Source organism: Homo sapiens, chromosome 20 (genome assembly GCF_000001405.40).
Source record: "Homo sapiens chromosome 20, GRCh38.p14 Primary Assembly".
Classification (NCBI taxonomy): domain Eukaryota; kingdom Metazoa; phylum Chordata; class Mammalia; order Primates; family Hominidae; genus Homo; species Homo sapiens.
In genome coordinates this window covers 6512337-6536077 of record NC_000020.11, presented here as the reverse complement: position 1 = coordinate 6536077, position 23741 = coordinate 6512337, and the positions used below count along the sequence as shown (strand labels likewise).

General features: G+C 37.0%; 1 long non-coding RNA gene across 1 annotated transcript in view, besides 1 other annotated feature; it reads right to left on the bottom strand.

Annotated features, from left to right (window-relative positions):
- Positions 1-7618: 7618 nt before the first annotated feature.
- Positions 7619-23741, bottom strand: part of CASC20 (cancer susceptibility 20) — a 101728-nt gene continuing 85605 nt past the window's right edge. Inside the window, exon 4 of the long non-coding RNA NR_109953.1 lies at positions 7619-8884. This is a non-coding gene — a long non-coding RNA (cancer susceptibility 20). The remainder of the gene's footprint in view (positions 8885-23741) is intronic.
- Positions 16202-16496: a silencer, noted in NCBI's record as "tiled region #6239; K562 Repressive non-DNase unmatched - State 24:Quies". NCBI's record gives its function as "represses a minimal TATA promoter and a strong SV40 promoter by Sharpr-MPRA in K562 cells {active_cell/tissue: K562}" and the evidence as "EXISTENCE:reporter gene assay evidence [ECO:0000049][PMID:27701403]".

Here is a 23741-nt window from a genome sequence, read left to right as displayed (position 1 = left end):
ACAACAGAAAAAAAAATAAATTGAACTTCATAAAATTAAAAATTATTTTGCATTATAAAACATTATCAAAAGAGTAAAAAACAATCCACAGAATGGGATAAAATATTTGCAAATCATATATCTGGAAAGGATCTAGTATCCAAAAAATATAAGGAAGTCTTACAACTCAACAACAAAGAAAACAACTCCATTAAAAAATGGGCAAATGATTGAATGACATTTCTCTAAAGAATATATAGAGATGATAAACATGTACGTGGAAAGATACGCAACATCACTAGTCACTAAGGAAATGAAAATCAAAACCACAATAAGATACCACCTCACACTCACTAGGATATGGCTATATGGCTGTAATAAATAAAACAATGGAAAAATAACAAGTATTACTGAGCATGTGGAGAATCGAAACCCTCATACATTGCTGGAGGGCATGTAAATGGTACACCCACTGTAGAAAAAATCTGGAGGTTCCTCAATAAGTTAAACATAGAATTAGCATATATGGCAGAGCAATCCTACTTCAAAAGAATTGAAAACAGGTATTCAGACAAAAACTTGCATGTGAATATTCAAAGCCCCCCATTCACGAAAGTAAGAAACAAGTTTCTTAGTCTGTTTTGTTGTCTACAAAATCAGATAGTTGGAGTAGTTTATACAAAGGTCCCTTCCAAGACCAGCTTTTGTAATCTTTATGTACACGAGCACCACTGTCATTAACAGCGGTCTTTTTTTTCTTTAGGAAAGTAAGATTGCCTCACACAGAGGTTACGATTTATGTTCTCAACCTCAAAGAGACATTGGAGGTGTGGGCAGATTGGAAAGGTGAATCTCATTCATTGTTAGGTAATCACTGGCAAAGTAGTTGGTAATTTTTCACATATGGTCTCCTCTCTTTCCCTTATGTGTTTCAATATCTCTTTCTAGAGAGATAGATAAAAATAAAATTTAGGCTCTAAGCACTATATCAGCTGTCATTTCAATTTGAGAACCACAGATATTATTATGTAAGAAGAAATTAGCCTTCTCTTCTCAATACTTTTCTTTAATCTCTACTTTCTGGAATATAAATGAAATATAAGAGTTCTGACTTGAATGGTAAAAAATCATTGTAATCTGGTTTATGAACTGACAACACAGATATGCAAATGGCAAGGCTGGTAAGGTAAAACATTTTAGATATAATAATATAGATCTAATATATAATTATAATTTAATATAATCTAATTATAATCTAATATATTAGATCTATATTAGATATAATATAGATCTAATATGTAATAATACATTCTAATAATAATATATAAGATATAATCAGAAAGCCCATTTTTACCAATTCCAGTTCCATGAAACTGCTCTCCAAGGGCTGCACTCCTTTCAATCCAACAAATACCTAGCCTGGTACAAAGGTAGGTCTGGATTTAGGCAAAGAAGACCATTTGCCTCCATTTCATCCCTGGATAATCAAAACCTCAACCAAAAGGTTGTCTTTGGTCAAACACAGAATGCTCACTTTTGCTGCCTCCCAAGAAAATGACCTCGTTTGTATTTGGGATGGAACTGTGGAAAGAGTTTGTCGCTTCCCAGCTTTTACTTTTCAAAGGCTCGCTGACATTCACCAAGCTCCATAATAGTTTTCAGTTCCAACCCGTTAGTTCTGAGACAGCTTTACAAAGCCACACTTGGAGGACAGAAAACAGCAATCCACGTCTCCCCTTTGTGGACAAAACAGAATCGAATCATCTTCAGAGGGGAGAAAAACCACATGAACGCAGACTGCTCAAATGATCCAGTACATCCTAGACAATCTGAAACCAACACGCATAAGGCAACATGGGTTATTTATGAGACACTGTCAGGGAAAAAGAAAAGCAAAAAACGTAACTTAAAGTTCAAGAAACCCGCACGCCACTGCTGGGGGTAGCTCTGCGTAGGACTCCACAATGTTCCCCGCATTGTTTTGTGCTGACTGCGCCCAGCTCGCGGGGCTTTTCATCGGCTCTTAAATCCACTGCTGCTCAAGCATGAAATACCTTTGGATTCCATTAAAAAAAAAATAAATGTGCTAACAAGCTGTTAAACCACATTTTACAACAAACGCATCAAACTGATGACTTAGCTTCAAAAATATGAACTAACCGAAATAATAAAGGCTTTGTAGAACTTGGATAAATGAAGTGATTGCCTCACAGTGAGGGAGATCTGTGGGGCACATCACTGTGTAATCAAAAAAATAAGTTCCTGGTCCTCAGAGAAACATTCAAAATGCTCTGCCTTGCCTACCTACAGTCCTGAGCCCAAAGGGTTTGAACAGGGGGAAAAACAACACAGGTACAAAAAAAAGAAGCAGGCAGGGGTGGGAGAAAGAAAGAAATTCAGTCAGTTCTTTGATTAACAAGACTTCTAGCTGGACTTAAGTACAAACAGCTGCCTAGACTCCAACAGCCAAGCCTAAATCTAAACACTCCACTGTTTACATAACCCAAACTTAATCAAGCGACCATCTAATCCACCAATTTAAAGTATCCCTAAGAGTTTCAGTGTAATGTTGGTTTTCTCACAAGCCCAGTCCATCAACAAGCTGTTTAAAAATGCCAGTGATTGCAGCTCTGTTCCCAGTCTTGTAGCATCTCCTGCCTGGTCATGCTACAGGGATGTTTAGGGGAGAACTGTTAGATAATGTGGGGTCATAAAGTACTTCCTGTTATTCTTCGGTTGGCATAGTGCACTGTGTTTGTTTATGAAACCCAGAATCCAGGTTGTATTTATAAGACAGTTTGGTTTGATAACGTATAATTTTATAGCAATATTGTTACTAATAAGGAAATACATTTCTTTGTCAGAAACTTGATAACTACATGTCAAAAAATATTATAGGAGATGTGCTCTAGGATGACCAGTAAAGGTAATTTTCATGAGGAAAAGGATAAGAAAAGGGAACTTATCATGATAAAGGTACTAGAAAAAGGAAAATGCTCATGAATATGAACTGAGGCTAAAATGTCAAATGCCAACAGAGGCCAAAATCAAAGAAGTTAACTGGGTCCCAGTGTAGGGCAGTCAATATGGAACTATGGAGACTATGGCAGGTACCCACCTAAGGAAGGTACATGCTACATAACCACAACCCACTTAAAAAAAAATTAAACATGTGCTGAGATATAATTCACATACCATGTAATTTACACATTTAATATGTGCAATTCCATTATTTTTAGTATAGTGACAGATTTGTGTAACCATTATCACAATCGCTTTTAGAACATTCTTATTCCCCAAAAGAAATCCCGTGTGCCCTTTAGCAGTCACTCCCCATTTCCCTCCAAATGCCCAGCCCTGGGAAACCACTAATCCATCACCTCTACAGATTTGCCTATTCTGGATATTTCATATACATGAAATCATACAATACCTGGTCTTTTGTAACTTGTTTCTTTCACTCAGCATAATTTTATAAGGACTCCAACTCATTGTTTGCCACAAATGTGGGCCCAGTGTGGCCAGATCTTTCAAATTTTCAGAGAAGTTGGAAATAGGGATTCTTATGTGAAATTTCCAAATGTTAAATATTGACCACGAGTTCAAATGAGATGCACACTGTACAGTTTTCCCCGCAGTGGAAACCAAACAAATATGTCTGCCCATTGAATTCATACATGGACCACAATTTCATTCCTTCTGGGGTTCATGAGACAGAGGGAGGGAAAAAGAGTGAAGCAAAATTCAAGAAAGCAGGAAAGGGTCTAACACACCTAGGCAAGAAATGAAGAGAGGAAGGTCTGGAAGGGAGAGGCAAGAGACTTCCATAGAGCAAACAGTCTGACTCTGAATTTGGTCAGAAGGGCCACCACAGCCTCAGCCAGGCTTGCTCTGACTCTGCCTTGGGGTATCAAAGCAGGATCTCACTTAGTTGCACACATAGGCCCTGAAAAAAAAAATAGCTTATTTCTAGAGAGAGAGAATGAGAGTCTAGCACTTTTAATAAGGTAATTCATTGAGATATTCATTTGTGTTAAATTAACCCTGTAAAACCCAAACTCTTGAGGAAATAATGTTAGATGTTAAGTACCCAGGGAAAAAGAAAGAAGAGAGTTTCTCAAAGAAGAGAGGCAAAAGGAGTGGAAGAGGAAGGACTCCCAGACTGAGAAAAGCAGGGCTAGTTGGTAGGTCCCACTGAGAGCATCACGGGAAAATCTCAGAGGAGAATAGCTGCTTATCTAGAAAGGCTGAGGCTGGATATGCAGTTACCAATGTAAGTTTAAAACTCCTATGCTGAAATTTATCATGGAGCAAAAGCGAATCTTTTAAGTCCCATGAGGGCTTAGCTAGCAGAGAACATTGGCAGAATCTTGATGGTCTGGAGTAGAGGAGGCTCTTGGCTCTTCTGGATTGATATATGATTTTCTGGGAAGATTATTTCAATATCTTCTATACTATACAAACTAGACGGGCACACCTCAATTTATTGCATTTGTCTTTATTATGTTTTTCAGATATTGCATTTTTACAAATTGAAGGTTTGTTAACAACCCAGCATCCAGCAAGCCTATCAGTGCTGTTTTCCCAACAGCATGTGCCTACTTTGTGTCTCTGTGTTACATTTTGGTAATTCTCAAAATATTTCAAAGTTTTTCATTACTTTTATATCTCTTATTGTGACCTGTGATCAGTGAGCGTTGGTGTTATTATTTTAATTCTTTTGGGGCACCACTAACCACAGCTATAGAAGACAGTAAACTTAATTCATAAATGTTGTATGTGTTCTGACTGCTCCAATAGGCTGTTCCTCCATCTCTCTCCTGTTCTGGCCTCTTTATTCTCTGAGGCACAACAATACTGAAATTAGGCCAATAAATAACACAACTATGGCCTCTAAGTGATCGGGTGGAAGGAAGAGTTGTAAGTCTCTCACTTGAAATCAAAAGCTAGAAATGATTAAGCGTAGTGAGGAAGACATACCAAAAGCCCAGACAGGTCAAAAGTTAAGCCGGTCATACCAGTTAGCTAAGTTGTAAATGTAAAGGAAAAGAAGGAAGGAATTAAAAGTGCTATTCCAGTGAACATACAAATGATAACAAAGTGAAAAAGCCTTATTGCTGATATGGAGAAAGTTTGAGTGGTCTGGATTAAAGATCAAACCAGCTACAACATTTCCTTAAGCCAGAGCTTAATCCAGAGCAAGACTTCTACTCTCTTCAATTCTAGGAAGCCTGAGAGAAGTGAAGAAACTGCAGAAGAGAACTTGGAAGCTAGCAGAGCTTGGCTCATGAGGCTTAAGTAAAGAAGCTGTCTCCATAACATAAAAGTGCAAGGTGAAGCAGCAAGTGCTGATGCAGAAGTTACAGCAAGTTACTGAGAAGACCTAGTGAAGATAATTGATAAAGGTGGCTACACTAAACAGACTTTGAATGGAGATGAAAACTCCTTGTCTTGAAGAAAATGCCATCTGGGACTTTCATGGCTAGAGAGAAGCCAAGGCCTGGCTTCAAAGTTTCAAAGAACAGGCTGACTCTCTTCTTAGGGGTTAATGCAACTGGTGACTTTAGGATGAAGTCAATGTTTATTTACCATTCTGAAATGTCTAGGGCCCTTAAGAATTATACTCAATCTACTCTGCCTGTGTGCTAAAAATGAAACAAGGCCTAGATGATAGCACATCTGTTTACAGCATGGTTTACTGAAAATTTTAAACCCACTGTTGAGATTTACTGGTCAGATAAAAAGATTTGTTTCAAAATCAGTAACAATGCATCTGGTCACCCAAGAGCTCTGATGGAGACTTACAAGGAGCTGAATGTTGTTTTCCTGTCTGCTAACACAGCATCCGTTCTGTAGCCCATGGATCAAGGAGTAATTTTGATTTATAAGTCTTACTATCTAGGAAATACATTTTTAAGGTTACAGCTGCCATAGATAATGACTTTTTTGATAGATCTGTGCAAAATAAATTGAAAACCTTCTGAAAAAGACTCACCATTCTAGATGCCATTAAGAACATTCATGACTCATGGGAGGAGGTCAAAATATCAATGTTAACAGGAGTTTAGAAGAAGTTGACTCCAACCTTTATAGATGACTTCAAGGGGTTCAAGACTTCAGTGAAGGAAGTAATTGCAGATGTGGTAGAAATAGCAACAGGACTGGAATTACAAGTGGAGCCTTCAGGTGTGACTGAATTGCTGCAATCTCATGAAAAAACTTTCCTTGATAAGGAGTTTCTTCTCATGGATGAGCAAAGAAAGTCTTCTCTTAAGATGGAATATACTCCCGGTGAAGATTCTATGAATATTGTTGAGATGACAACAAAGGATTTAGAATATTACATACATTTAGTTGATAAGGCACTGGCAGGATTTGAGAGAACTGACTCCAATTTTGAAAGAAGTTTTGCAGTCATTAAAATGCTATCAAACAACATCACATGCTACAGAGAAATCTTTTGTAAAAGAAAGAGTCAATTGATGCAGCAAACTTTATTGCTGTCTTTTTTTTAAGGAATTGCCACAGCCACTCCAGCCTTCAGCAACCACAATCCCGATCAGTCAGCAGCCATTAACATCAAGGCAAGACCCTCTACCAACACAAAGAGTATGACTGGATAATTGTTAGCATTCTTTTAGCAATAAAGTATTTTTTATTAAGGTATGTATTTTTTATTAAGGTATGTATTTTTTAGACATCATGCTATTGCACACTGGATAGACTACAGTAGAGTGTAAATGTAATTTTCATGTATACTTGGAAACCAAAAAATTTGTGTCACTCACTTTATTGCAATATTAACTTTATTGTGGTGACCTGGAACCAAACCTGCAGTATCTCCAAGGTATACCTGTAGTTTACTTGATGAGTGTCTGTTTTTCTAGAAATAGAAATCCCATATCCCAGGGCCACCAAATTCAATCCACTGTCAAGGTTGAGTTCTTCAGGGGACAACTTTATGGGAGTAGACAGTATCTTGTAAATCTTTGCAGAGATAAACAGTCATTAGAATCCTATTTGAAAGCCTGTCACTTTCTACTCAATTACCATAAGTCTGGCATTGAGGACACAATGATTTTCTTTACTATTTCTAGGATTTACTCTCTTTAGGAATTTCTCCTTGCAGGTTTGCATTGGATTTAACTTGGGTGAAATTCAACTGCATTTTAAAAGTGTTTATTGTCTATGAATCCTGTGCCAGAATAGGTTCAGGAAGGCATCAACTTTACCCCCATAGAATTCACAGTAAGTCAATAACTACACACATTTTACTATAGTTTAATTTGTGGACACCATGAAAATGAACAAAGTGCTACTAAGGTACATTAGACTAGCAAGAACCTTGGACATTATCCCCAAATGAAAATCTTACCAAGTAATTATTTAAAGTTTGTTAAACTTAACCATTTAAAAAATAAGTATTAGAATTATTATCACAGATAAGTTAAACAACAAAATAAATAGAATTAAATGAATCATTGTATATCTTTATCCCACGTAGCTGCAGTATAAACCTTCATTGTAAAACTATATTGAACATTGACTAAACTTAAGTTCAGTCTATTATATTTGATTATAATAGACACTCAAAAAGTAACAAAATATAGAAATTACAGACAATACAGTCTTTGAATGCAAAAGTTTTTTATTAAGTTTGAAAATTCTAAAGTATCCTCTTAGATAATTCATTGTCAAAAAGGAAAATCAAAACTATAATTTACAATATGATGAAGGTGAAATTAATATCAATAAATGGTTTGGAGATGTTAACTATTTATAAACGTAAAAATTTGGATCAATACCTTATAACATATACTAAAATTTGTTTCAGAATGAGTAAATGTTTGAATGCAGGATTGATACGTAAAAACGTGGAGGAAGATATTACAAAGAACCTGGGCTCAATGGTTCATGCCTGTAATCCCAGCACTTTAGGAAGCTGAGGTGGCAGGATTGTTTGAAAAAAAACTTTTTTAGAGATAGGGGTCTCACTGTGTCGTCCAGGCTGGCCAGGAACTCCTGGCCTCAAGCAATCCTCTTGACATAGCCTCTCAAAATTCTGTGATTACAGGCATGAGTCACTACATCTGGACAAAGTCATTTAAATATAGATATTTTTAATATATAAAAGTTAAAATTTCTATATATCATAAATGAAAATTTAAAAACATATTGGGAAATATATTTACACTATAATGACAGAGTTAACACCTTTTATTTATAAAATATCATACAACATGCTCCAAAAGAAAGTACATAGACATTAAAAAATTAAAATAGGCATAGATACTAAGATAGGCATAGACATTAAAAAAAAAAACTCAACCAACAAACATAAGAAAAACCTGTAAAAAGTCACTAGTACTAGAAAAACATTCAAATCAGGAAAAGGAGTTACCACATACCACCAAAAAAGCTGACAAATAATTTCTTTAACTTCATTTGGATAAGGAAATGCATGGTCTCACATGGACAGCTGGTTGTTTCATAATTTATACATTCCTATAAGACAATTTAGCGGTATATATCAAAAGCTTTAAAAATGCTCCTCCCACTTTAACCCCACAATTTGTGTCTGGAAATTCATTTTAAGTAAATAATCCTAGATTCATACTCAGATTTATGTATAAGGACATATATTACTATGAAATTTATAATAACAAAAAAAGAAAACTAAATAACTGAAAAGAGCAAATTAATTAAATAAAATGTGTGCACACAATGAACTGATATATAGTCAATAATACCATTTTCTAAAATACATGATGATACATGAAAATACTTATGATGGGCTGGGTGCAGTGCCTCACGCCTGTAATCCTAGCACTTTGGGAGGCCGAGGTGGGTGGATCGCGAGGTTAGGAGTTTGAGACCATCCTGGCCAACATGGTGAAACCCCCGTCTCTAATAAAAATACAAAAATTAGCTGGGCATGGTGGCATGCACCTGTAGTCCCAGCTACTTGGGAGGCTGAGGCAGGAGAATCGCTTGAACCCGGGAGGCAGCGGTTGCAGTGAGCCGAGATCGCGCCACTGCACTCCAACCTGGTGACAGAGCATGACTCCCTCTCAAAAAAAAAAAAAAAAAAAAAAAAAAAAGAAAAAGAAAATACTTATAATGGAATTAACAAAGCCTTACATATAATGGAATCACAATTTTGTTTAAAACAAAAAAGCCTGTCCTTTGTGGAGAAAGACTAGAAGGAAGTACATCAGAATGCCAATGATAGTTGTCACAGCTCAGGGAGGGTTGGAATAACAATACTTAGTTTCATATTTATCTACATATAACAAATATTATAGTATTGGGATTTTATTTTTTATATTTATCTATATATACCAAAAATTTCAACTGTATATAGTTTTACAATGAATGATTTTATTACTTAAAATTTACAAATAAATACTATTCAGAAAAGATGAAAATCATTAGAGTTCTCTCAAAACTTCTGAAAGCAGCGAAAGCTTGGTTTTGAGAACAATGTATAGCATTTATTTTGTAAATAAATTAAAAACAAAAATCAGTAAAATGTGAATTTAAAACAAGTATTTATTTAAAAAAAGAAGAAGAAGAAGCCCTACCAAAATAGCAAGAGAAAAATAAAAAATAACAACAAAAGATGCAGGGGTGGGTGGCTTCAAGATGGCTTACTAGAGTCATCTGGTACTTGCCTCCTCCAAAAAATAGAGCCAAAATGGCAAGTACATAATCACACTTCAAATAGATCATCTAAAAGAGAACGCTGGAATTCAGGGAAGTGATAGGCAACCCCTCAAGCAAGGAAGGAGAGGGAAGTGAGGCAGTCTGCTCAGCCAGGATCAGCTGGGAATCTGGAGAGGACCCCAATGTGGGAAAGGGTACATGAGGGACCCCCAATGGTCCACATGCTCAAGGTAGACTCCTGTGATCCTAACTGCAGAAGAGGCCCTCAATCCTCATGGGCCCTAAGACTAACACAGGGAGCTGCCTGGAAACCACAAGATTACATTGCTCCAGAGAGGGAGCTCAAGTCTGGCTCCCACACACTTCTGAGTCATAAGCAGATAGAGCAAGGCACCATTTTCAGAGCCATTCCCCACCAGAATGCAGCCCCCTCTGGGGCTCAACAGCCCTGGCATCTCCACATTCCTGGAGCTCCACTGATACCTGCCATCTACAGCCAACTGCTATGGCTGGCTATGGCCACCAGGGCCGAAGCAGGAGCCACTGGGAGCAACTCTGCTGTCCCTAAGCTAAGCTGCCACACGGTTTCATATGTCCTAAGAACAGACTCCCCTGCCTATAGCCACTACTGCTGTGGCCAAAGTGTGAGCAAAGCTTGCACTTCCCAGCTGCCTGCCTATGGCTGCTGCTACTGAAAACAACCACACATAGCAGGGTTGCAGTGCAGACAGTACCACCCCCACCGAAGCATTTTGTTCCTGCCTACCTATCACCTCACTACTGCCTACCACAGCAAGTGCCTACGTGTACCACAAGGGGACCTGAGGACAGGTTCAGCCAACCTGGCCTCACCATTCCAGTGCCCAAAAACAACATCCGGAGACTTGGGAATTGCCCAGCCCTGTCTACCACTATTGCCGCCTGAGCACTCCTCCCAGGGGATTGAGGTTAGGCCCACCCAATCTGCCTCTATCACTACAACTACCACACGCATACACACACACACACACACACACACACACACACACACACACCACCTTGCCAGCCTGGGGTGTGGCCCAGCCATTGCCGACACCAGTGCAGGCTGCTTGGGAATCAGAGCCTTGTTCCATTACTGCTACTGATATTGCCCATGCCATACCTTCTGCCCAAGAACCAGAGATCATGCCCAGCCAGTCACTGCCACTACCAGCCCTGAAGGAGGCCACCTGGAGGCCCAAGAATTAACCCACCTGGGCCTGCTGACATCAGTGCCAGTATATACCACCCCAGGGCCCAAGGAGAGGGCAGTAGGCTTGACCCACCACTGCAGCCACTAAGGTCCAAGAACTGGCCCAGCTGGCATCCCGGTACCCAGAAAAATTTCACCACAGCCTCCACTAACAACCACACCCTAAGCCACTGAGGAAATAGCAGACACCACTGACACTGTTTACAGCTAAAGAAATCATGTGGAAACTGCACTACTGCATATACCCAGATACAAAGCCAAAGTGCCCTACCCAACCAACACCATAGATACCTCTCCAGGAAAAAGTTCTCACCTATGAAAGCAAATCCAAAAAATTAGAATAAATGACTATTACTCAAGATGCCCAGGTATCAACATAAAAACAAAGGAAGCCTGAAAAAGCAAGGAAATATCATGCCTTCCAAGGAATGCAATAATTCTCCAGCAATGGATTCCAATAAAAAAGAAATTTATAAAACTCCAGAAAAAAATTTAAAATACCGATATTAAGGAAGCTCAGTGAGATACAAGATAATATATAAAAGCAAGACAAAAATCAGGAGAACAATTCAGGACATGAATGATAAATTTACTGAAGAGGTGGATATCATTTAAAAAAGAACCAAACAAATTCTGGACGCAGAGAATTCATTAAATGAAATACAAAATACATTTGAAAGCTTTAACAATGGACTAGATCAAGGAGAAGAAACAATCTCAGAACTTGAAGACAGGTTTTTAAAAATAACTCATGGAGACAAAAATAAGAAATAAGAATGAACGAAGCCTATGTGACATATAGGACACCACAAGGCAACCAAATATTCAAGTTTTCAGTGTCCCAGAAGGCAAAGAAAAAATGAAAGGGATAGAAAACCTATCTAACAAAATAATAGCTGAAAACTTCACAAGTCTAGCAAGAGATTTAGACAACCAGATATAGGAGGCTTTGAGGTCCCCAAATAGATACAATGTAAAAAGGTCTTCTCCATGACACACTATAGAGAAACGTACTAAAGTCAAAGACAAAGAGAAAATTCTACAACAGTCAGGAGGAAAGTGTCTAGTCCCAAGTAGAGGAACCCACACCAGATTAATAGTAGATTTCTCAGCAGAAACCTTACAGGTCAGAAGAGAATGGGATGATATATTTAAAGTGCTGAAAAAAATCTGCTAAGGATGCAATAACCTCTCCAAAACAATCCTTCATATACAAAGGAGAAATAAAACTTTTCCCAAACAAGCAATAGCTGAGGGATTCTATCACCACTAAACTGGTCCTACAAATGATGCTTAAGGGAGTTCTACACCTGACAGCAAATGGAAGATAGCTACCATCATGAAAACGCATGGAAGTATAAAACCCACTGATAAAGCAAATACACAAATAAGGAAGAGGAAGGAAAGGACTCAAATGTTACCACTACAGAAAACCACAGTCACAATGATAAACAAGAAAGGAATAAATGACACACAAAATAGCCAGAAGTCAATTAATAAAATCACAGAAATAATCTCTTACATCTCAATAATGGCCTTAAAGGTAAAAAATTAAACTTTACTTAAAAGATATAGACTGGCTGAGTGGAGTTTTTAAAAAGCGACCTAGCTATATTCTGCTTACAAGACACTCATCTCACACGTAAAGACACATATAAACTGCAAGGAAAGGGATGAAAAAAAAAATTCCAAGCAATAAGAAAACAAAAGTGAGCAGGAGTAGCTGTACTTATATATCAAATACAACAGACTTCATGACAGGCAGGAACTGTTTTAGGAACTTTCCATACATAATTTTAACTTAGTCTTTCAAACAACCATGAAAAGTGGGTGTTTTTATACTCATAGCAAAGAATGGGAAAGTGAGTTTCAATAAGGTTAGGTAATTTCCTAAAGGCATACACTTAATAATTTATTTATCTTGGATTTAAATTTCTCCCAAGCTCATTTTCTCTAAACCATACCATACTGCCCACAGATAGAAGAAAACTGGCTGGTCAAAACATTACCATCAGAGATTTATAAGATTTGGCCATACTGATACCGTATTTTTCAAACATGCCATTTCATATATTTGTGTCTCGGCCTTCTTACTCCCCTTTATCTTAAAAGTTTGCCCATTTTTGAATTTTTTCTATTCCACCTCATTCTATGATATTAGAATCAATTCTTATAGAACCTTTCTTGTTGTCCAAGTCTAATTCATTATTTGTATATGCCAAGACTTTCTTGACTGCAAGTAATAAAAACCCAACTCATATTAGCTTAAGCATAAAGGTATTAGTAACTGGAAATGTCAGGATTATTAGGACCTAGTCTCAATCTCTCTGCTCTGTGGCCCTCTGTGCTGGTCCCATTGACAAACAGGAACTTCTTTCACTACAGCAATATAAAGACCAATCATTCTGGGATTCCATCATCACAATTTTGAGTTCAGGAAAGAGGAAGAAGCATCTCTCCCAGACGTTTAAACCAAGTCCTATGCCTGATTTTCACAGTCCTGTATCAGTCTTTGAACCAGTCACTCTGTGAGCAGGATACAATGCTGTGATTGGCCAGGCCAGAAACAAGTATCCAGCTTTGGAGTCAAAGGTGGAGTCAAGATCACCTAAGGGAGTTCCACAGAGGAAAAAGTGGGTGATATTACAAAAAGTAGTTCTCATAAATCACAGGTATCCACAATAGTCACTGGATTCTCCAGCCCTTTATGCAACCTCTGAAGTAGCCCTTATTATATTGTAATGTTTTATGTGTTTATTTTTTACATACCAAGTTTAATTATAATTTTACTTTGACATATAAAATAGTAATTGGAAAACATTTTTCATTAGTCTATAAGCTTTTAAACTTTAATTCATTTACCCAATATATTCTACCATAGTGGATAAATTTCAAATTTAGTTATAATGAAAAATCCTGAGGTCCCAAATTAATAATAATAGTAGTAGTAGAAATTATTATTGTAGCTAGTATATTTAGGGCTTATTGTATTCTAAATATTATGCTAAGTGGTTTTTACAGATTGCTAGTATTTAAAAGACAAAAGATAAAAAGTGTTGGCAAGGATGTGGAACATGGGAACTCTAGTATACTGTTGGTGAATTTGTAAATTGGTATGATATTATGTAATACAGTATGGAAGTTCCTCAAAATATTAAAAATAGAACTATGGTATGACCCAGCAATCCCACCATTGGATATGTATCCAAAAACATGAAATTAGTTTGTTGAAGAGATACTCACACTCTCATGTTCATGGCAGCATTTTTCATAATAGCCAAGGTATGAAATCAACCTAAGTGTTCATCAGTGGTTGAAAGGATAATGAAAATGTGGTATTTATACACAATAGAATACTATTCAGCCTTAAAAAAGAAAAAAAAATCCCTGTCATTTGTGACACAGATAGACCTGGGGGATGTTATGTGAAATAATGTAATCCAGGCACAGAAAGATAAATACTGCATGATTCTCACTTATAGGTGGAATCTAAGAAAAGTTGATATCATAGAGTCAGAGAACAGAATGACTGGTGATTACCAGGGGCTAGAGGATGGGGGCATTGGGGAGATATTGGTAATATCAGTTAGAATGAGTAAGTTCCAGAGGTCTATTGTATATCCTGATGATTATAGTTAATAATAATATATTGTATATTTGAAAATTGCTAAGAGGGATTTTTGTGTTCTCAATGCATAAAAATGATATGTGAAGTAATGTATATATTAATTGGCTTGATTTAGTGATACCACAATGTATACATATATCAAAACGTTATGTTGTCCACCATAAATATATACAATTTTTGTCAATCAAAAATAAATAAACACAATTTTAAAAAGTAAAATAGAACTACCATATTAGCCAACAATCCCACTTCTGGGTATATATATCTGAAGGAAATAAAATCACTATCTCAAAGAGATATCTGCATGCTCACGTTTGTTGCAGCATTATTCATAGTAGCCAAAATATGGAAATAAAGTATCTGAATACAGAAGAATGGGTAAAGAAAATGTGATATATATATACACAATGGAATACTATGCAGCCTTTTAAGAAAAGGAAATACTGTCATTTGCAACAACATAGGTAAAATTGGAGGACATCATGCTAAGTGAAATAATCCAGACACAGAAAGACAAATATTGCATGACCTCACTAATGGTAGAACCTTTAAAAAAATCAAACTCAAAGTAACAGAGAGTAGAACAGTGTTTAGCAGGAGACTGGGGATGGGGAGAAAAGGGAGATGTTAGTCAAAGGGTACAAACCTTCAGTTATAACATGAATAAGTTCTGGATTTCTGGAGACCCAATCTACAGAATGGTGACTGTAGTTAATAACAAATATATCATATGCCTGAAATTTGCTGAGAGAGTAGATCTCAAGTGTTCTTACCACAAAAAAGAAAATAGTAACTAAGTGAGCCGATGGATATGTTAGCTTGATTGTGATAATCATTTTACACACTTTCCTCCTGCTGTTGTAGAATTTTCTCTTTGTCTTTGACTTTAGTAAGGTTCTACATTACTACAGACTTTACCATTAATCTGGTGTGGGTTCCTCTACTTGGGACTAGACACATTTTACAATGTGTGAATACATCGAAACATAACATTGTACACCTTACATATATACAATTTTTCATTGTCATTCTTCCCCCAGTAAACTTGGGGTTGAGAGAAAGTTCAACAAACTCCCCCAAAGTCACTGAGGCAATATGAGGTGAGCTCAGATTCTTACTTAAGTCTGAGTCCAGGGAGTCTTTCTGTTAATCAGTATGTGATACTGCCATAAGTAATATGTAAACTTTTTTCGACTCATTGTTTTAATACTATCATCAATTAAACCTAAATAGTCCCTTCTTCTCAAAAATCTCCAAATACCCCCAGAAGGATCATGCTATTAATTTTACAATGTCAGTCCAAGGGTTACCATCTTTGACTTATGAATGGTAATGCTGAGGTTTTGAGACAGAGAGAGCTTAAATTGCCCTGATCAGACTCCATCTGAATCAAACCTCATGTTTTCTGCTTTCCGTTTCTGTCCTCTTCACTGGAACACTGAACGCACAGTGTTTATATATTACATGTTTAATGGAGACATTATACATATAATGTTATGAAGAACAAAATACTGATGTGGTAAAAGTACACTCAGTATACTAACTTTGAAAAAAATATGATATCTACGCCATCTATAAAGTGTTTCCCACCATGAAACCTCACTCCTTTAGAAAACCAAATTCTTGTAATGGAAAAAATGATTCAATTAAAATAAGAACATTGTCCAGGAGAAAATAAATCTGGGATCAATAGATTGAGGTTTTCCTACACTATTTCAAAGATCCCTGGTTATTACCAAATGTTTCAGTAGCAACAGAGGTTAGATAAACAAAGGATAGTAGTGTACCTTACTCTCAAAATAATCTGAACAATTATGACTCAGAAAAGAGTCATACTGCAGACTTGAAGAAATAAGCACAATGTGCTCTTGTGGCTGAGAAGGCTACAGAATCCTAAACAGCATGAAAAAGACTATTGGAAACGGAGCAGAAAACTTTATCCACCCCCTCTATGGAAACATGGTTTACCCACACCTGGAGCCATGTGTATCATTTGGTCATTATAGCTCAAGAAAACCAAGAACTGGAATGGAGACAACCAGAGAAGAGCTATTAAACTGAACAAGGGGCTTCTTTATGAGAACAGACTAAGAAACAGAACTCTTCGGTTTGAAAAGACAAAGTAAAAGAATAAAAGAATATAGCAAAGAGTCTAAAATCTTAAAGTGTGTGGCTAACAAGAATACAGACTTTACCATCAACATTTTAAAAAGTTAAATCTAGGAGTAATAGAGAAAAATTCTCCTTGGTTAATAAGCATATCAAGTTTATTATCCCAAGAGATACTATAGGTCACAAAAATAAGTAATTTAAAAATATTACTTTATTGATAATGCCAAGAGTTCAGTCAGGAGACCAAGAAGCAACTAATGTTTGGAGAGCAGCTTTATGATGGGATACCAAGTAGACTAGAGATTGATCGCCTGTGCTTTTAGGCTTCTAAAATTTACATGAAAGGCAACCATGAAATTGCTTCCACAAGACATTCTTTCTTACTATTGCTGAAAACAGAACACTATACTCTTAGTAGAAAATTAAGTCAACTAAAATTAAATTAACAAACCCTAAGACATTGTTAAGATTCTTCCAAGGAGTTAAGTCCCTCCATAATACCAGTAAGATCTGTCTTCTAGCTAAATTCAGTTAGCTCTGGATGCTCCTTTTCCAACTGCCACTCACAGTGATATGAATGGAGCCCAGAAATCCTTCCTCGTAGTATAAAGATTTGTGAGCAATTATCTGAAAAAGCCATCTGATTAATTGATCGTGTTGGAAATATCTGTAATTCCCAGCGATGTCTCCTCCTTTCTGCGCATGTTCCCCTCACTCTACCTCTCATCTCTTGATGGATGTGTGAGGACTGTAACAAGTATAGCCAGAGCCTTTCCATAGCATTATAAAAGTTATCCCCAAAGAAGGATCATACAAGAGGCTGAGTAAATGACATTCTTCATGGGCTAACTATCCAAGTATCAGTATGTCTGGGATTTACGGGCTAATTCTTCTTTTCACAGCACAGATAGAGGTAGGAGGAAGAATCTTGAGAATCTTGAATTCTATAACCAGCTTATATTTGGCTTCCTCTGTCACCTGAAATGTTAGTATGCCAGATATTTGGTGGATTGAATTAAGAAAGCTTAGAAATGAAGCCAGCCAGAATGTGTAAGACAAAGGGAAAAATCATAGGGAAGCTGCAATAAATGAACAGCCAGAGACTGAAGAAAGACCAGAAGATACTTACAGGGGAATATGAATGTTTTAGCTTTGCCTGCTATTTGATTTTAATCGAGTTCGCGTGTCTTTTGAAGATCACCTGCTGGGAATTTAAGAAAATAATGAAGCAACTGTTTAGGTCCAAACATTCCTCAATAAAACAAACTCCAGGTTTTAGAGCTATGTGTGAGCTACTGCTATTAAATGGGAGAAACGAGCCTGCTATAATAAGAAGAAATAATGTGTTTGGCTAATGTCTACAGGCTCTCTTCAGTATGCTGTGATTAAAATGACATCTCCAGAGGTGTACTTGTTTGTTTGTAAGATTGTTGCTTCAATTTAGTCATTACTTCTAAAGTTTCCAGGGAAAAAACCCAAAGGGTAGTTTTCCCCTTAAATATAATGTGTTTCATTCTTTTAAACATTTATTACTATTAGCCCTGGAATCTGGCTCCTCTATTATTTGGGGTATGGTTGGCTGTTTTCCAAGAAGGCAGTTTGGTGACTCCAGGACACCAAGTACCCAGAATGGTTCTACTGGGTAATTCAGTAAGCGCCAGGCGCTCTCCCTTAAGACTATTAAATGTGAACCTTGCATTCTAACGTGAATGGACAGAAGCTGTTTCAATAGCAGACCCTTAAAATAGTGAAAATTGCAGCCACACAAATGGAAGAGACTGACAATCCAATAACCAACTGCATTTCATTTCGAAACAAGTTACATATTCATTTCAGGTAAATTGGCCTTTCTGATTATGATGCTTGGGAATGGGGCCATAGAAGGATAGAAAGTAAAAGATCTCAGGAGAATGCCAGGCAATGAAATCTGATTCCAATTCACTAATTGTGCTGTTAGGGGAACGGAGCACAAATGCACTAGCATTACGTTCCCAGATATTTCAGTTCTTGTGTGAGTGGGTGCATGGCTATTATTTTCAGTGTTTTTGCCCATCAGCTTACCATGAAAGGTTTCTGCTAGGCGTAATCCTAGCTGATTAGACTTCACTGCTTTTCCATTTATCAATCTACTCTACAAAGTAATGATGCTACTAAAGACCAACAAGCCCACCCAAAGAAAGCCAAGGCAGCCATCATGCCTTAATAAAACTCTGTGGCCTTGAAATACTCCCATCTGGAAAGTTCAGAATTTACTCTAAAACCTTTGCCACAGTTTCTTAAAATCCTTGGATAAATTATTTCAAGCTTCAAGTTAAAAGACAAAAAGTTTAAAACTCAAGTAATTTATAAAACATATATCTAACTTTCATTTCTATATCAGCTCAAGGCAGCAACTAAGATTTGTCCTTGCTTCCTAACGACACTGATGCAAGCATTATTCTTAATTTTATTTTTAATATACATAAAGCAACTGAGGGTCAGAGGCAATAAATAATTTTTCCAAGGTCACACAGCTAGCTAGGAACAGGACTGGAATTTGATTCCACAGTTATGCTCACTATCATGAGGAGAACCATTGGTTCTTGTCAATAAAGACTTAGTATGAAGTCCATTCACAGCATTTTAGGATTTCTTTTGAAAAATGGTGAGCTATTCGAAGTTGACCACATTTGAGTGCACCCAACAATAATTAACAATACTTGACTTAGGATGGGGTTATGTCCCAATGAGCCCATTGTAAGTCAAAAATATCATAAATTGAAAATGTATTTAATGCCCCATAAAACCATCATAAAGTCAAAAAATTATAAGTCAAGCCATTATAAGTCAGAGACCATCTGTATTCAAAAGACTTTTAGATGTAAATTGAGTGCTGTGACATTTAAGGCACTGCTCTAGACACTGAGCTAAGAGCCCTGGGCTATACTGTCTGGACTTTAGAACTTAAAGAGACATGAAAATCCAAACATCACATTTGTATACTAGAATATTAAACAACCCCGGGGACTAAATGTCTGGCTTGTAGTCACAAAGCCAGTTTGTTGTAGAATTGAAGCTAGAATTCAGACTCCTTGAAATCTAGAACAGTGCCCCTCCCATGTACAATTCGAGAAGCACAAGACAAGTCTTAGCCCTGAAGGAACTTGTAGTTTAACTGGGGAGACAGATGCAAAACTATTAGATATTTTTTTACAAATGTGACAAAATTTAAACTTCAACAAAGATGATAAGGCAAGTTGCTGTAAGAGTACATTATGGCCAAATAGGGTTATAATTCGGAAGAGTGAGAACTTAATGTAGGCTAGAGAGTCATCCTCAAGGGGAGTTATACTTAGCCATCTGAAAGGAGTTTATAGAAGATACATGGAGAATTATTTAAGTGGTAGAAATTATGTATTAATAAGTATAACTACCAAAACTATCACACCAGAAAGACAAAGATTACATGGAGAGCCAAGTAGGACTTCTATGATCCTCCTATCCTTGATAATAGCATGCATCACTCTAATTTACTTGTGTTTCTGTAAGTTTTTTCCACCAGTGAACTCTTATTATAGTACCTGATACATATTAGGAGTTCTAAAATACCTCAGATGAATAAACAAATGAATAGAAGCTTTGATTAGAATTGTGGATTAGATAACACCAGAAAAAAAAAAAGAGTACTTTCGGGATTAAAAAAAAAAAAACAACATAAAGGACTTCACTCACTCTCTGTTCATATCCAAAGTTATCAACAATCCCAAAAAAAGCATAGATAGAGCCTACTATCAGCATAGTACTAATAACAGCCAGCTTATCAGCCCACTGACATCATCTAGCAATGGTAAATTACTTCAGATTGTGGAAGGCATTCACCAGCTAAAAGTTCCTTTCCAATTCGAGGTAGAGAAGAGGTGTTTAAGGGAAAAGAAAGAGGAAGGAGATGGAGGATTACATTAATGAGGGATTTTTCAAACATCCATACACACTTTGTGATAAAATGCTTCTAAGCTGGGGTCATTTCCTGTACAGACAATGTAGCTTTTCTTAGACCCATACTGGGTCTAAAAATTACTGCCTGGCTGAATATCTAAGCTAATCAAGACTATGTTCCCTCAGCAGGTGAGGGATAAACTGAACACCATTTAATCAGGCATAATGGAAGGCTGAGTCTATAAAGTAGTGCATGATTAACCATTTGGAGGAGTCCTGCCAAGTCCACAGTACTAGTAGTGGAGCTCTTCTTTCATACATTTTGCAAATGTAATTCATTAGTAGGTACTTAACGCTAACCTATGCTGAAAAGAAAGCCTTGGTGCTGAGCTATACTGAAAAGTTGATGAAGTATAGTACAGCTTTGTATTAAATAATTAGTATTATCTTACATGGGAAGACCAAAATAATCACCCTCCTTTAACAGACATATGGGGTTAAAATTATTCAGCTCACATCTTTTGTTTTGAGAAATCTTCATGTTATGCTAGCTAAAGTGGGGATGGGACAGACAGCCCTCTGAGATTTTTGGTTGAATACATATTGAGATAAGCATCATGTAGTTGTTTTACCTGTGTGGGGACACTTATTCAGATTGGGCCCAGAAAAAGTCTCTAAGTTCATGCACTGCTTACCTCTTTTACAGCAGTAACATACAGCCTTGTCCAAAGCATTTCTCAATGAATGCCCATCAGCAGCCCAGAGAACCAGGTGCGGTGGGGGGAATGTTAATGTTGATTGTTAGTGTTGAACAGGACAAGACAATCAAAAAGTGGGGAATGGACCAATCAGAGGCAGTGGGAATAATTGTCTATAAAAATAACTGTGTGCTTTTTCTCAGAATTTATATACTCAAAATGGATGAAGTAAGACCAAGTGGTGGTCCCTAAATCCGGCAAAATCCAGCAATGCACTGGAAGCTTGGGAGTATTTACTGGAAACTTCTAAATTATATATATTCAAGGTATACAATATGTTGTCTTGATATACATACACTTAGTTAAATGCTTATCACAGTTAAGCAAATTAACTTATTCATCACTTTCCATAGTTGTCTTTTTGTGTTTGATAAGGACACCTAAAATCTACTTTTCTAGCACACTTCAGCATACAATAAAATATTATTATTATAACTATAGTCCCCAAGCTGTACATTAGATCGCTTAGACTTTTTCATCTCACATAACTGTAAGTTTATATGATTTGATCTACTTCTCATTTCCTTTCTCTCCCTACCCCGGTAACCACCATTTTACTCTGTTTCTATATGTTTGACTTTTTCTGAGATTCCAGATATAATTGAAATAATGCACTATTTTTCTTTATAAGTCTGGCTTATTCCACTTAGCATAATCCCCTCCAGATTCATCCATGTTGCTGCAAATGGTAGCATCTACTTATTTTGGAATGAATATCTATATGCATGTGTATACATACCACATCATTGATAGACACTTAGGTTGATTCCGTGTCTTGGCTACGTGAATAATGCTGCAACGAACATGGGAGTGCAGGTATCTGTGTGAGATGCTGATGTCATTTCCTCTGGGTACATACCCAGCAGAAGGATCGCTGGGCCATACGGTAGTTGTAACTTTAATTTATTGAGGAACTTCCACACTCTTTTCCATAATGACTGTACCAATTTACATTCCCACCAACAGTGTACAAGTGTTCCCTTTAACCCACAGCCTTGCCAGCACTTGTTATCTTTTGCATTTTTGATAATGGCCATTCTAACAGCTGTGAGGTAACGTCTCATAGTGGTTTTGATTTGCATTTCCTAGAAGATTAATGATGTCGAATATTTTTTCATGTACTTGCTGGTCACTTGTGTTCTCCTTTTGAGAAACGTCTATTCAGATTCTTTGCCTATTTATTAAATCAGGTTTGTTTCTTTTTTCTACTGAGTTGTGTGAGTTCTTTACGTATTTTGGATATAATTCCTTATCAGATAGATGGTTTGAAAATATTTTCTCCCAATCTGTAGGGTGTCTTTTTATTTTATTAATTATTTCTTTTGCTATGCAGAAGATTTTTAGTTTGATGTAGTCCCACATGTTTATTTTTGCTTTTGTTGCCTGAGCTTTTGGTGTCATATCTGAAAAATTATCACCAAGGCCAATATCAAGGAGTTTTTCTCCTATGTTTTCTTATAAAATTTTACATTTCCAGATCTTACGTTTAGGTCATTAATCCATTTTGAATTGACTTTTGTCTTTTGTGTGTGTTATAAGATAAAGATCCAGTTTCATTCCTTTACATGTGTATATCCAGTTTCCCCAGCACCATTTATTGAAGAGACTCTCCTTTCCCCATTATATATTCTTGGCAGCTTTGTCAAAAATCAATTGATCATAAATGTTCAGGTTTATTTCTGGGCTCTTCATTCTGTTTCATTGGTCTATGTATCCTTTTTTTTTAGATGGAGTTTTGCTCTTGCTGCCCAGGCTGGAGTACAATGGCACAATCTCGGCTCACTGCAACCTCTACCTCCTGGGTTCAAGCGATTCTCCTGCCTCAGCCTCCCAAGTAGCTGAGATTACAGGCAGCTGCCACTATGCCCAGCTAACTTTTTGTATTTTGAGTAGAGATGGGGTTTCAGCAAGTTGGCCAGGCTGGTCTTGAACTCCTGGCCTCAAGTGATCCACCCACCTCGGCCTCCCAAAGTGCTGGGATTACAAGCGTGAGCCACCACACCTGGCCTTACATATCTATTCTTATGCCAGTACCATACTGTTTTAATTAATATAGTTTTGCAATATGATTAGAAAACAGGAAGGCTGGGTGCAGTGGCTCATGCCTGTAATCCCAGCACTTTGGAAGGCTGAGGTGGGAGAATCTCTTGAGGCTAGGAGTTCAAGACCAGGCTGGGCAACATGGTGAGACCCCATTTCTACATAAAATAAAAATTAAAAAAAGAAATGAAAAAGTTTGAAATAATACGAAATATCTTTTCTGACCACAGTGGAATGAAACTAGAAATCAATACCAGCATAAAAATGGAAAAGTTTACAAATATGTCTATACAAACACAAGCTTGAACAACCACTGAGTCAAAAGAAATTTTAGGCTGAGTGCAGTGGCTCATGCATGTAATCCCAGCACTTTGGGAGGCTGAAGCAGGCAGATCACTTGAGGTCAGGAGTT